This window comes from Homo sapiens, chromosome 11, assembly GCF_000001405.40.
Source record: "Homo sapiens chromosome 11, GRCh38.p14 Primary Assembly".
Classification (NCBI taxonomy): Eukaryota; Metazoa; Chordata; class Mammalia; order Primates; family Hominidae; genus Homo; species Homo sapiens.
In genome coordinates this window covers 124,772,396-124,785,512 of record NC_000011.10, presented here as the reverse complement: position 1 = coordinate 124,785,512, position 13,117 = coordinate 124,772,396, and the positions used below count along the sequence as shown (strand labels likewise).

The window sequence follows — 13,117 nt, the reverse complement described above, 5'->3', positions numbered from 1 at the left end:
AAGGACAACCTGAGTTCCATACCTCATTGTAGGATTAGCAGAGGCTGCTGTTGCAACTCTACTTTAACTTCTTTCTGTGCCCAGCCCTGCTTCTCAGTCTCTCACATGTGTGGTTCCCAAGAGCCTTCCCCAGCATACCTGCACAGTCTCCTCCGACTCTCTTTCCAGGGACACTCTCTTTTAACATTATTATTAAGTAGGAATGATCATGTAAATTGCTTAGCCCAAATCTCAGCACTCAGTTGGCACTCAGGAAATGGTAGCTATGATTTACCTTCATTACATGGCACGTTGAGCCATGTAAGGAAAATGTTTGGTTTTTGTAGAAGGTACAGAAATATTTTTTCATATGGTCATTTCTCTTAGCAGTCTTTATAAAGCTAAGAATAGAATATAAAAATTCTACCAAATGAGCTATAAAAATAGTTATGATTGCCTGAATTTATTTCTAACAACTTCCTAACTAAGTTCAGATCACCCAGGATAGTTGCTTTTAATAAAACATGCTTATTTTCAGGTTTTTCTTAGAAAGGATATGTGTCAGGATATGAAGATGTATTCTTTTCTTGCATTGGTGACCTGTAGTTTACACTGTGTAAATGCAAAAAATATATATTTTTTGAATGTTTACATTTTCACAAGTTAATGAATCTGGATTTAATGTTTGTACCCAGAGGTCTTGAGGGAAGATTTCAGATAACCTTAGTTTTTGTATGATTTTATCTGCCTATCAGGATTCTTTTTCTCATAACCAAATGTGTAAAATCTACTAATGGAAACATCTCTATTATAGGTTATCTTTGCACTATAGATGGTAGTTTTTAGTGAGAAAATAACTACAGAACTGAGAGAATCACATGGTCAACAGACGAAAGGAATAAAGTGGCCTACTGCTTCAGGGGAAGCCTGCTCTGCACAGTCTCCCTTTTAAACATTGGTCTCATGAATGGAAACACCTTCGTATTTGGGAAGCAATACGATGTTGTAATGGTAAAGCTGTGTGCGGATTTTTGAGGTGGCGGGGGGGGGGTTTAATTTTTAGACATGGTTGTCCATGGAATAATTAGTTCGTAGTGGAGGGTGTTTGGGAGTACTTTAACGAAGACTGGTTCTCCCCTGCTATGCCAGAAATATTTTAGATAATTTTCTTGCATGTGTTTTAGATATCACATACTAATAAAAGTATCATTTTTAGTGTATCTGAATACCTCTTTGATGTAGTCCCCCAAGGTGTGAACTGAGAAAAAGATTCAAAGAGGTGCTGACTTAGCAACTTCAGAGGTGATGTAGGAGGTCAAATGAAAATAGCCTCTAATCCCAGTCAGTTCTTTGCCAACAACTGATTTTTTTTTTTTCCCTTTCAGGTGAGGAGGAAGTTCTAGACAAATAGTGTTATCTGCTATCTTTGGTGACTGTAGCTACTACCTATTGCTGCTTATATACTGAAATAGTTCAGTATACCCTACTTTTTTGACCTGTATTCTTGTAAATAGAAAAGCACTTGAGAATTCCTTGTCTTGAAGGATTCTTGTACCCTAAAGAAGCTCTTATACATGAACATGCATGCTAGGTGTGACCTTTACAAGTATTACTGCTCATCTGAGATCATTGTATGAGTGTCCATGAGAAGCACACATAGCATAGGGTCAGAAGCTTTATGGTTACATGAATTGAGTTCCTTGAGCCATGGAAGATGTTTGTTTTTAACAATTAGTATTGTCCTTCTTTAGGGTTTTTTTCTTAGTAATCTGAATGGGCACGACCCTCAGCTGCTAGCATGAAGGAACCTAGAAAACTTAGAACTTGATATTCATTGACAATCAAAATTTCCTGAATTTTATATTTTTTTAAAGTTTTGTTTTTACTTTCTTTTATTTTTTATTTTTATTTTTTGAGACAGAGTCTCACTCTGTCACTCAGGCTGGAGTGCAGTGGCACAGTCTCAGCTCACTGCAACCTCTCCCTCCTGGGTTCAAGCAATTCTCATGCCTCAGCCTCCCAAGTAGCTGGGACTACAGGTGTGCATCACCACACTCGGCTAATTTTTGTATTTTTAGAAGAGACAGGGTATCTCCTGTTGGCCAGGCTGGTCTAGAACTCCTGGCCTCAAGCGATCTGCCTGCCTTGGCCTCCAAAAGTGCTGGGATTATAGGCTTGAGCCACTGGACCTGGCCCTGAATTATTAATATATATTCTAGGCAAGAATCTCTTCTCATGGAGGCAGTATTGACCAGTTATAAACACAAAGTGAGTGAGTCATTGATAGCCAGATTCAGAATGAAGTGCAAGCTGATAGGATTCAGTCCTGGACAGTTCCCCACAAAGACTGAGGCTCCAGAGAGGTAAGATCTCTTCGTTTGTGGTGGTCATTCTGTTTGACCCGATTAAAATCAGAAAGCAATCGAGTCTTTCCCCCTTCCTGTCTTTGACAGAACTACCTTACATTCTTGACTATTTCATTTGCTTGTTTACTTTGTAAGGCATAAGAAATAAAATTTGGACAGGGCTGCAGAGCTCCCTTTGGCACGTGGCCTGCCCGCCCAAAGAAAGGTATAACAACAAGAATGATAGATATTTTTAAAATAGCCTTGCCCAGCTATTTTCAAAAGGTTTCAGGAGCCCCGCCCATCAAGATTCATTGATTTGATAATTTATTTTAGTTAAGCAATGAATTTTCTGATGTTCTTTGCTAAGAAAAATTTTATCCTCTTGCTAGTGATTTACTACTTTAAAATTAGCTTAATTATGTATTGAATAAATATATATTTTGAATAAGCCTCATGTGATTAGCACTGTTCTAGGCTTGGGGAATAGAGACAACCAAGATAGATAAAATCCTTACCTCATGGAGCTTACAATCTAGTGAAATAACTTCTTAGGAAACATTAAAGTTTCTTAAGTGGCATTTGATAATTTTCATATGCCAAACTCCTCTTAAAGGAATACTTATCTTTGGGCCTTGCTTCCTCATTTGTTAAGTGAGGAAGATGAACTAGATGATCTCTGAGGTTCTTTTATGTTCAGAACTTGTATTACGTTTTTCTATTTTTATTTTTTTTAGAGACAGGGGTCTCACTCTGTTGCCCAAGCTGGAGTGCAGTGGCGTGATCATGGCTCAATGCAGCCTCTACCTGCTAAGCCCAAGGGATCTTCCTGCCTCAGCCTCCCCAGTAGCTGAGACTGCAGGTGCACACCACCACACCCAGACTAATTTTTTTTTTTTTTTTAAGTAGAGACAAAGTCTTGCTATATTGACCAGGCTGGTCTTGACTCCTGGCCTTGAAGCGTCCTCCAGCCTTGGCCTCCCAGAGTACTGGAATTATAGGCATGAGCCACTGATTCTGGCTCCATAATGTTTAGAAGATGGAGCCTAGTTTGTAATTAGAACCTTAGGCAATTCCACCCACCTTTAGTGGATCAGTATATTACAAAAAGTGTTATAAAGAGACATTTGCCAAAGACAGTGATATCAGCAGGTGATGAAGAGTATCAAATGCTGCAGGGAAGTTAAATGAGTTAAGGACAAAGTTTGAGCTTCATTCAGTTATTAAGAAGACATTGGCCAGGCGTGGTGGCTCACGCCTGTAATCCCAGCACTTTGGGAGGCCAAGGCAGGCAGATCACCTGAGGTCAGGAGTTTGAGACCAGCCTGGCCAACATAGTGAAACCCCGTCTCTACTAAAAATATAAAAATTAGCCGAGCGTGGTGGTGGGTGCCTGTAGTCCCAGCTACTCGGGAGGCTGAGGCAAGAGAATCACTTGAACCCAGGAGGCAGAGGTTGCAGTGAGCCCAGATTGTGCCACTGCACTCCAGCCTAGGCGACAGAGCGAGAATCTGTCTCAAAAAAAAAAAAAAAAAAGACATTGATGATCACAATAGGAACAGTTTTAATAGAGTCATAAATTAGACTGTGATCCCATTGGGTTGAGGATTGAATTATTGTAGACATTGCCTATTCCTGTGAGACCCTTTAGACATTAGGCAGTGTTAAAGCTGGAAGATGTGAGAGCTTAGCCATAGAGACTACTAAGGAACGTAGTCAAGACTTACTTTACTATACTTGTTTCTGGATGTGTGTTTTTCTGTTTTAAGTTGTTACTTGAGGTAGTTTATCTGGCATCTATATCGATAAGTTAATCAGACAATAAGTGATCAAGTACTGTGTGATGCAGTTGGAACAGATAATCAGCATAACGAATCATTTAATATCACTTAATTATTACTTCAGAAAAAAGATTTCTTGCCCAGCAGGTAGAAAGAAGTGCTATATTTTTTAGAAGAGTAAAGTAATATCGTTGTATGCTTTCACTTTTTTTTTTTTTTTTTTTGAGACAGAGACTCCCTCATGTCGCCCAGGCTGGAGTGCAGTGGCACGATCTTGGCTCACTGCAACCTCCACCTCTCAGGTTCAAGTGATTCTCCTGCCTCAGCTTCCCGAGTAGCTGGGACTACAGGTGCCCACCACCACGCCTGGCTGATTTTTGTCTTTTTAGTAGAGACGGGGTTATGCCATATTGGCCAGGCTGGTCTCAAACTCCTGACCTCAGGTGATCCGCCCACCTTGGCCTCCCAAAGTGCTGGGATTACAGGCATGAGCCACCGCACCCGGCCCTTGTATGCTTTTACTGATAGAAATTATTTCCTTCAAGAAACGGGAATTTGGCTAATTTACCTCTTAAAGGAAATTAATGCTGCTTTATCTAAATGAACAGAATAGTGAGTGAACTGATAATTGTACTTAAAGTAATTGTTCCAATCTTTAGAATCTCCTATAAAATCTAAGATACAAGTTTACCTTATTTTAGGGTTTCAAACTAATGTATGTTATATTTTATGGAGGAAAGAACTACATAATGCAGAGCAGAATTTTTTAACGACGTTCTTGTATGGGTTCTTTAGTGAGTCCAGGTACCCCCTTGAAATCGTATGGGACAGGTTGTGTATGTGTGCATTTTTCTGAGGAGTGGATCCATGACTCAAAAAGGTTAAGAACTTCTGCCCTGGAAAGGAAAAGCAAAAGATTGAAGAATAAAAACATTTTGTATTTGCCAAAACTTGTTCTGTAGCAGTAAGTGTGAAACAAGTTTGCTACATTTTTCTTTTTGGTTTTACTTGGTTGGGGCTTTTTTGTTTGGTTGGTTTTAAAGGATTTAGGGGATTGGCAAGTCAGTTTGTCAGATGTCAATGAACAGAAAACCTAAGAAAAAAGGTAGCAAAAGTTCTGCTGGCCCCAGATGGATTTTGCCTTAAGTAATTTCCTAATCATTAGTTACAGCTCTGTGTCAAAAGATGTACATAGAAATTTATGCTAGATTCTTAACATCTTTCTTACTGTGTGCAGAAATGTTTTTTTATTTATGTATGCTACATAAGATATTGTCTTTCCTACTTTTATGCTCACAGTAACAAAATATAGCTCAAGAAATTAATGTTTTTCTTAAAGATATTAAATGGTGTTTCGTTGCCTCAATTAACTAAGAGCAACTAGTTTTAACAGTTACAATAGTAACTTTAAAGGTATAAGAAAGATCTATTTTGCAAAGATCTTGCTTCAAAATACAAATCTGCTTTAGTCTGAGGTATCATTTTTAACAATTTTATAAGAAAATTAGTCACTGGAAATTTACTCCCAATGTAATTTCTTCATCTCTCGTGGAGCACAATATGTGATTTTTAAGGCCTTGTTTGTGAATAAGTGTGCTCTTTAATCATTTGGGTAAAAGGAATCTCAAATTTATCATGTGTACTTGGCAGTGGATTAAGATAACTATGTAATCCATTTCCAGTGTGGCCAGCTTGACAGCTACATTTGAAAATCTGTTTCACTGCTTGTTTTTTCTTGTAACATTGTTTCCTGCTATTATAACTAAGCTGTCCTCCTTGCAGATTGACTTTATTTTTCATCTGACATCTTAGACTGATCAAGCCAATGTTTTCTAAACAATACATTTATATAGCTGTTATGCCTTATTTCTGTTCCTCCACGTTATAGTGCTCCATTCCATGTATGGTCAGTTAGCTAGAACAGTGTTTTTGTCCTGGTGAATATTTTATGATTGTATGAAATGGGGCAAACTTTGAGAAAATTATTAAGCCAATACTGGAATTGGTTGGCATATGCCTTTATGATTTATTTAGTTTGTTTTCTACTTTGCCCTACCAGGGAAGAATTTAATTCTTCCCATTTCCTGAAAGTCAAAGGATTGGAGGACACTAAAGCAAAATAAACCTTAATTTCACCCCAAAAGTAGCTTAGGTAATGTCAGGAAGGGCTTTGATGAAACCACTGTCCCTGCTTATAGATCTTATTTTCCAAGCCTTTCAATATTTTATTTGCCCTTTTCTGAACTCTACAATTTCCCTCTCTTGTAGCTGGTTCGATGCCCAGAACTGAATGCTGTGCTCCAGCTGTGGCCTCACCGGTGCTGAATAGAGAGGAAGAGCCACCTTCATAGCTTACATGTGATTCCTCTGCTTATACAACCCAATACTGGATTTACTTACTTTGGCAAGATAGCTGCATTGTGCACTGTATTTAATGTTACGTGTACTGTAACCCTGGGTCTTTCTCTACATTGCTGCCGTTAAACCCCCAATCCTGCCAATCTAAAACTCCTGCCTTTGTTTACCTTCCCCCTCCCCCATAGACTCCCCATACATTCATCCACAATGAATGTCATCTTTTTATTCTCTCATTTCCTTTTACTCTAATCTTAAACTTTGGCAAAACTTTCACTCTGTCCTATAAATTGTCAGTTGTCAGCCATCTTATTTTTCTCCCTGCTTTGGTAATGGGACATCTTTGAAGTCTTTTCTCTGGCTCTTTTCCCTTCATAGTCATGAAGCACTTGGCATGGTGGATTTAGTAAGCATTCTCTTGCCATTGCTTCCAAATCAAATACCATGAACTCCTCTGGGTTGACCACCGATCAAGTTGTTACCTATGCTTTAGTTCTTCAGTCCAGGTTTTCCTGACTCCTCCTGACCTCTATCCCTACAGCTTCTTTCAGGATACAGTATTCTCTCACAACTCTTCCTCCAGGGGGAGACAACAGCATCATGTCAATTTACCGGGGAGATTTCCAACAGTCAGGAAAATTACAATCTCTAATTGTGAATAGAATAGTTTTTAATAATTTTAAGCACATTTCTGCCCCTGCCCCAGACCTTAATTTTTAGAAACTATTAAGCTTAAGTTACTACAAATTTCTAGGATGAGTAAAATAAAGGAAGAAGAAAGGGAAGCAAGATTTTTGTGTTGAATAGGACATGGTTCTCCAAGAAAGCCAAATTGAGGTTCTTGTTGGGTTTGAGAGCTGTCTGAAATGGGAATTGAGGCTTCGTTTTTCTGAGCATTATTGTAATCTCAGCTCTAGAGTAGGTTTTTAAGTGGGTTTATTTAGGACTGGGACACGCACAGTCTTAATTCCATGCTTTGGCTAATTTAGAGTGTGGAAAGTGTAACCTCTTTTGCTTTATTGTGGGTGATAATTGGAAGGTCTCCATAGTTCCTTTTTATCCATCTCTAAACTCCCTCAAGTTTAACTCAATCCCAGTGCTTCTTACAGTACCAGTCAAGCCGAAGTTTCAGTTCTTACTCTTTTTTTTTCTTAGTTGATGTGATTTAAATAGCCTCTCCTTGGATCTGTGGTCTTTACTGAACCCAGAAGTTACCTCTTAAGTGCATTTATATCTTGAGAGAGTTAAAATCAGTTGGGAAATCTTTTTTAACATGATTTCAATACATCAAATTCCTATCATGGATTTAAAAGTTACCAAACATCTTTCCTTCAGGCCCCTGATAGATATTTTACATACTAGCATAGTGCAGTATTCAAGTGTATTACAAAAGTACACTACAAAGTAAGAAGTAGCAAGATCTGTTAGTGTCTTTTGATAAATTGTAAAATGTGTCACCTGACTTTTCTTCCATATCTGTAACCATTAGATACTGCTAGTTTCCTTATTCACAATTACATAAGCCAAGTGAAGTATTAAGCTCAATTTGGTGGTTCCAAAGAGAGTAAGAGTCTTTGCTGTGGTTTCCTACCATGTCTATCGCCAGAGATTGGTGGCTTTGCTTATGCTTGTGTCACTTCCTGATATGTGTGGCACCTTTCTTGAAAGGAATGTTAGTTTTATTCCCTGACTTCCGAAATAACCGTCAGCAACAGAGCCAACTGGGCCCTTGTGTGTGCTGAATGCTTTTCTCCAGGGAGTCAGTAAGTAGTGAGCAGTGGCATGGTTTCCTTCTCCATTTATGGCCTTGGAAGGGTGAAAGGGACATGGTTGGGACTCTCCATTTACGGTCCTTGGAGGAGTTGAAAAGAGTGGTTGGGGTGTTCTTGGAGGCAGAAACTAGACATTGTGAGATAAAAATAAATTGGCAAGGGATGTTTGGAATTCAAATTCCAATCCCTGCAAGGAGGGCAGAGGGCGCTGGGAAAGGGGGAGTGTGTAGAAAGTCAAATGAGCTCTGCCGCAGGCATTTGTCTCCTTCCATTGGAAGGTTTGCCCATGACACACATTTGCCAAGTTCATATTTCTGGTTTGTTCTAGAAAGTTTTGTCTTATGTAATTGTGACTATCTTTTACAAAGAGGAAGAAGAAACACTTTTAAAAAGAGTGTATCGTTGGAAACCTCAGTTCTCTAAGGCATCATTTGAGGCTCCAGAAGAGATCTCAAGAAAGGGAGAATGAGGCAGATGCTTGTGCAGGGGGTAGGCCGGCTGGCTTTAGGGTGGGAGACTCTTAATTGTTGCTCTGTTTTTGTGTGAGGAAGATCATCACACATGTCGTGCTTTTATTATTCCTTTTACCCATCTAGATTTCTGGCTTCAAGGGACAAATTTTTAAAGTATCTGATAGAGTGTCTTGTAGATTGTCAACTGTGATTTAAAGATACTGAACTTCCTGGCTGGGTGTGGTGGCTCACGCCTGTAATCCCAGCACTTTGGGAGGCCAAGGCGGGCGGATCACCTGAGGTCGGGAGTTCAAGACCAGCCTGACCAACGTGGAGAAACCCCGTCTCTACTAAAATTACAAAATTAGCCGGGCAGGGTGGCGCATGCCTGTAATCCCAGCTACTTGGGAGGCTGAGGCAGGAGAATCACTTGAACCCAGAAGGCGAGGTTGCAGTGAGCCGAGATGGCGCCATTGCACTCCAGGCTGGGCAACAAGAGCGAAGTGCTGTCTCAAAAAATATATAAATAAAGAGACTGAACTTCCTTGGAGGCTTTGTAGATATTATTAAGAGTTGTTTTAGTTTGGTGAAAATAGTTAACATATTGGCTTATGGAGAGCAATCTCACGTTTAGGATAAATTTAGTCTGGCAGTGCCTACAAATTAAGTCTGAGGTGAACTACTTTTGAACAGTTGAGTTAGAAAGTATTTGGTAGCCACCAGGGAAAAGAGATCTTATTTCAAGAAAATAATTAGTGAAACTCAGTAAAGTAGAAGGGAGATTAGAAGGAACAAAGGGAGGCAGAGATGGGATAGAGACTGGTTGCAACTTAACTAAATTTGGAAGCTGGGATTAAGCCCTTGATTTATCTTTTGAAATGCCATATAAGATAGCATAAGATGTACCATTAAATTCAGGAAACTGGGCTAATAATCAGAAATATGTGTTAGAAATAAAGACCATGGTAAAAATGGAAGGGTTGTACAAGAGAATAAAATTATTCAGGTTTTGTCTGTGGATTTGCATAATGATATTTATTTGCTGTGTGCCACATGGCAGAAAAGGAAGTGAAATAACACCCCTCTGTCCCGTCCTTTTCCCCAGAAAGAAATCACTGGCTTCATTTGTTGGTTTGTTTAGCTGGCAGCTTGAGTTGGTAGAACAGACGAGTAGATTGTCTAGCTTTAGACGTAGGTATTAGTGTACTGTTTCTTGATCATTGATGTTTGAGACCTGGAATTTGTAGCATTATTGATTTGACCTCTGTTTTAAATTTTAGCGGCTTCCACAAAGACTGAGTTAGTAAGGAATACAACTATGTAAGTAATATGTTTTACTAGCTAATTTGTCTAGGCAATTATTTTTACCCTGTATTCATTCCTTCTTAATCAAGAGTAAGGCAGGTATTCTTTGCTTTGGGAAATTCTTCTTTCTGTCCTCCCTTCCCTCACTTTTTCCAAATTCTGGGCACAACAGCAGCTCTCTCTCTTCTGTGGCAGGTGTGCATCCTATTGGCTGGCTGGTATTTCTTGTTTTTTTTCCCCCTTATTCTTTTTAAATGGGGGTGGGGGTATAAAAATATGTGTATGGGGTACATGCAATAATGTTGTAATGTTTCTTGTTGTTTAATGGATAATTAATTGCAAAATAATTGTTTTAATTATAACATGTTTGAGTAAATGCTAAATTAGTATTTTTTTCTAATATAATAATGAATTTGAAATCTAGCATTCCTGTAACAATGTGTCTATGTTTGTCTGTCTGTGTCTGTCTAATAGTAATTAATATCTGTGGTCCGTACCTGGAAGAGGAAGTACAGCTTTAAAGGAATAACAAAAGACTTTGTGTCTTAGACCCTTCGCAGGTGTTACAGTCGGGTGAAAGAACATGGTGTTGGGAAAAGAAAGAGCAGTTACACATTTGAACAGTTGGAACAGGTGTTTGGTCAGGGAGGATGGGATGCTCAGCCCTGCCAGCCTGTACTTATTAACAGTAGTGGCTTGTACCAGGAGCTGGAGTCAGATGGCAGCACTATGGAGGACTATTCACAGGAGGACTGGGGAAACCACAGTCAGGATCTCCATGGCTATCCAACAGATCAGGAATTGGGTAAGAAAGCCAACATATATGATACTTATGTTTGTGTATATTTATATACCTTTATGTATGTGCACCAGTACTTATTACCTGTAAATATCTTTGGTACTGTTCCCTATAGTGGTCAGCATAAGGCATAAAGGGCATCTCTGCCTTGTATGTCTTTCATGAATTTGCATGTCCCAGTCTATTTGGGGCAATGTGGGCATCCTTGGTTTAGCCTTAAACTGCCAACTGGTGCTTGGTGTTGTTCATTTGGCAAGTTGTTTACCAGCAGGATTCCCAAAGACACAGAAGAATTTCTAATTCTGAGCTATACAAGTACACTCAGTGACAGGTAACATCCTATGCAATTCTAAATATCCTGTACCTTCTAGTTCTAAGATGACTGCTAAGATATCTTGGCCCAACTGCTGTAGATGTTGTTCTTAGGAATTCCTTCTTTTATCCCAAATACATTTTTCTTTTCTGTTTATGATTTGGAAAAGGTCTTCTCTCAGACTTGAGCCTGAACACAAAATGAGGGGAAGCCTCCATTTATCTTGAATAGAGCTGTTATTTGAACTGTGTGATCATGTTCCTTCACACTTCTTAAGGGATCGCATCCCAACAGTAGCTGGAATTATTTATACAGTCATAGGCATTAAAAATGGAAAATAAAATTCCTGGTCATCAAATCTAAACTTGTAGGGCCTAACTAAGAGTATATATGTAGTTGTGGGATTGTTCTGTTTCTTTGCGCATTACATGCTCCAATTTTTATTTTCATAATTTGATTTCATAATTTGGAGGTACTGATCAATCAGCCATTGTACATTAACAGGAGGTTATGTAATGAGTGCTCACTTAGAAGGGTATATTCTTGCTCCCAGCCCTTGGTACTCAGGCAGCCCCCAAGGAAGTATAAGTAGGATTGGCAGTATAAACATGCTCCCTGAGCTTTAGATAAAAGTCCATGGGCTCTGTTTTTTACCAAATTCTTGATGATAGAAAAATGTTAATTCCAAAGAAAAAGGACTAAATGCTAATATGTTTCTTAGCAATGTTGTTTTAAAAATACTCTTCAAATATTGGAAGACAGTCAAAGAAGAAAGAGGTTATAAAACTATAAGACTAACAGCGTATAAGAAATGGACTTAACGATTAGAAGAATAAAAGGGGTAGATGGTAAGCGATCACTACCGATTAATTTCAAAGGAGTAATAAGGTCTAAATTACTTTGGCATTCCATAACACTGGTTTTGCTGTAGAGAGTTAAGTCACTCAAACCTTTGGGAAAAAAGCAATATGCAGAATATGTTGATCCTGACATTGGGGGAATAATTGCTTTGTAAAACCTACATAGAAAATCTAAATGGAACAGAATTATTTTTATTCTTGTCCTTTTAAAATCATGTCTGCAGTGAAATTAAGCTTTAAGCTCCTAGCTAGAAATCCACTGGTGACCTTGAAGAATTTTATACTTGTAGAGCTGGTTTCTGATGTTACATATAAATGTATGCATCTCATTATATAAGAGCTATATTTATAAATCTGACATTGGACAGTGTTTGACACTAGAATAAAAGCCTGGTTTTGGAAAGTATGGAATGATCAGTAAACATAGCTACTTATCTACATACATGCATGCCACCACTTAGGAAAGTATAACTTTTTTCAAAATCTTTGCTTTTCAGATGAAATACCTGTCACAAAGAGAACATTAAAAATAAAACAAGAGTCTTCTGAAGAAGCACAGTAAGTAGATGCTTCACCTTTCCAGAAAGTGTGTCTGCCTAAGTTTAATGACCATTGGGAAGATCAGAAAATATTTAGACATATTATGAAAGTTCCGGCCATTCACCAAGGAGGCATGTCTATTCATTCTTTAGATTTAATCAGGGACTCACTTAAAGCTATTAGAAAGCATCACAAACATAGCATCACTGGTAATTCCAGGAACTGTGATGTCTATACGTTCTTTTTTTTTTTTTTTTTTTTTTTTTTTTGAGACGGAATCTCGCTCTCGCTCTGTCACCCAGGCTGGTGTGCAGTGGTGCAATCTCTGCTCACTGCAAGCTCTGCCTCCCAGGTTCACGCCATTCTCCTGCCTCAGCCTCCAGCGTAGCTGGGACTACAGGCGCCCGCCACCACGCCCGGCTAATTTTTTGTACATTTAGTAGAGATGGGGTTTCATCGTGTTAGCCAGGATTATCTCGATCTCCTGACCTGGTGATCCGCCCACCTCAGCCTCCCAAAGTGCTGGGATTACAGGCGCGAGCCACCGCACCCAGCCAGATGTCTATACGTTCTTTCGTATCTTAGCTTAACCCTTCCAGTGATTATCTAAAATGTT

The 13,117-nt window shown here is 38.9% G+C and overlaps 1 protein-coding gene across 7 annotated transcripts in view; it reads left to right on the top strand.

Annotated features, from left to right (window-relative positions):
- MSANTD2 (Myb/SANT DNA binding domain containing 2) overlaps positions 1 to 13,117 on the top strand; it is a 33,909-nt gene that overhangs the window by 14,894 nt on the left and 5,898 nt on the right. Inside the window, exons 2-4 of one of the 7 annotated variants that reach the window (NM_001352401.2) lie at positions 6,374 to 6,463; positions 10,539 to 10,794; positions 12,459 to 12,519. In NM_001352401.2, coding sequence (NP_001339330.1) covers positions 10,719 to 10,794; positions 12,459 to 12,519 — 137 coding nt within the window. In that variant the 5' untranslated portion in view covers positions 6,374 to 6,463; positions 10,539 to 10,718. Of the gene's footprint in view, positions 1 to 6,373; positions 6,510 to 9,270; positions 10,795 to 12,458; positions 12,520 to 13,117 lie in introns of those variants that run through there. The other 6 variants (NM_001352400.2, NM_024631.4, NM_001312921.2 and 3 more) reach the window with 6 other exon arrangements.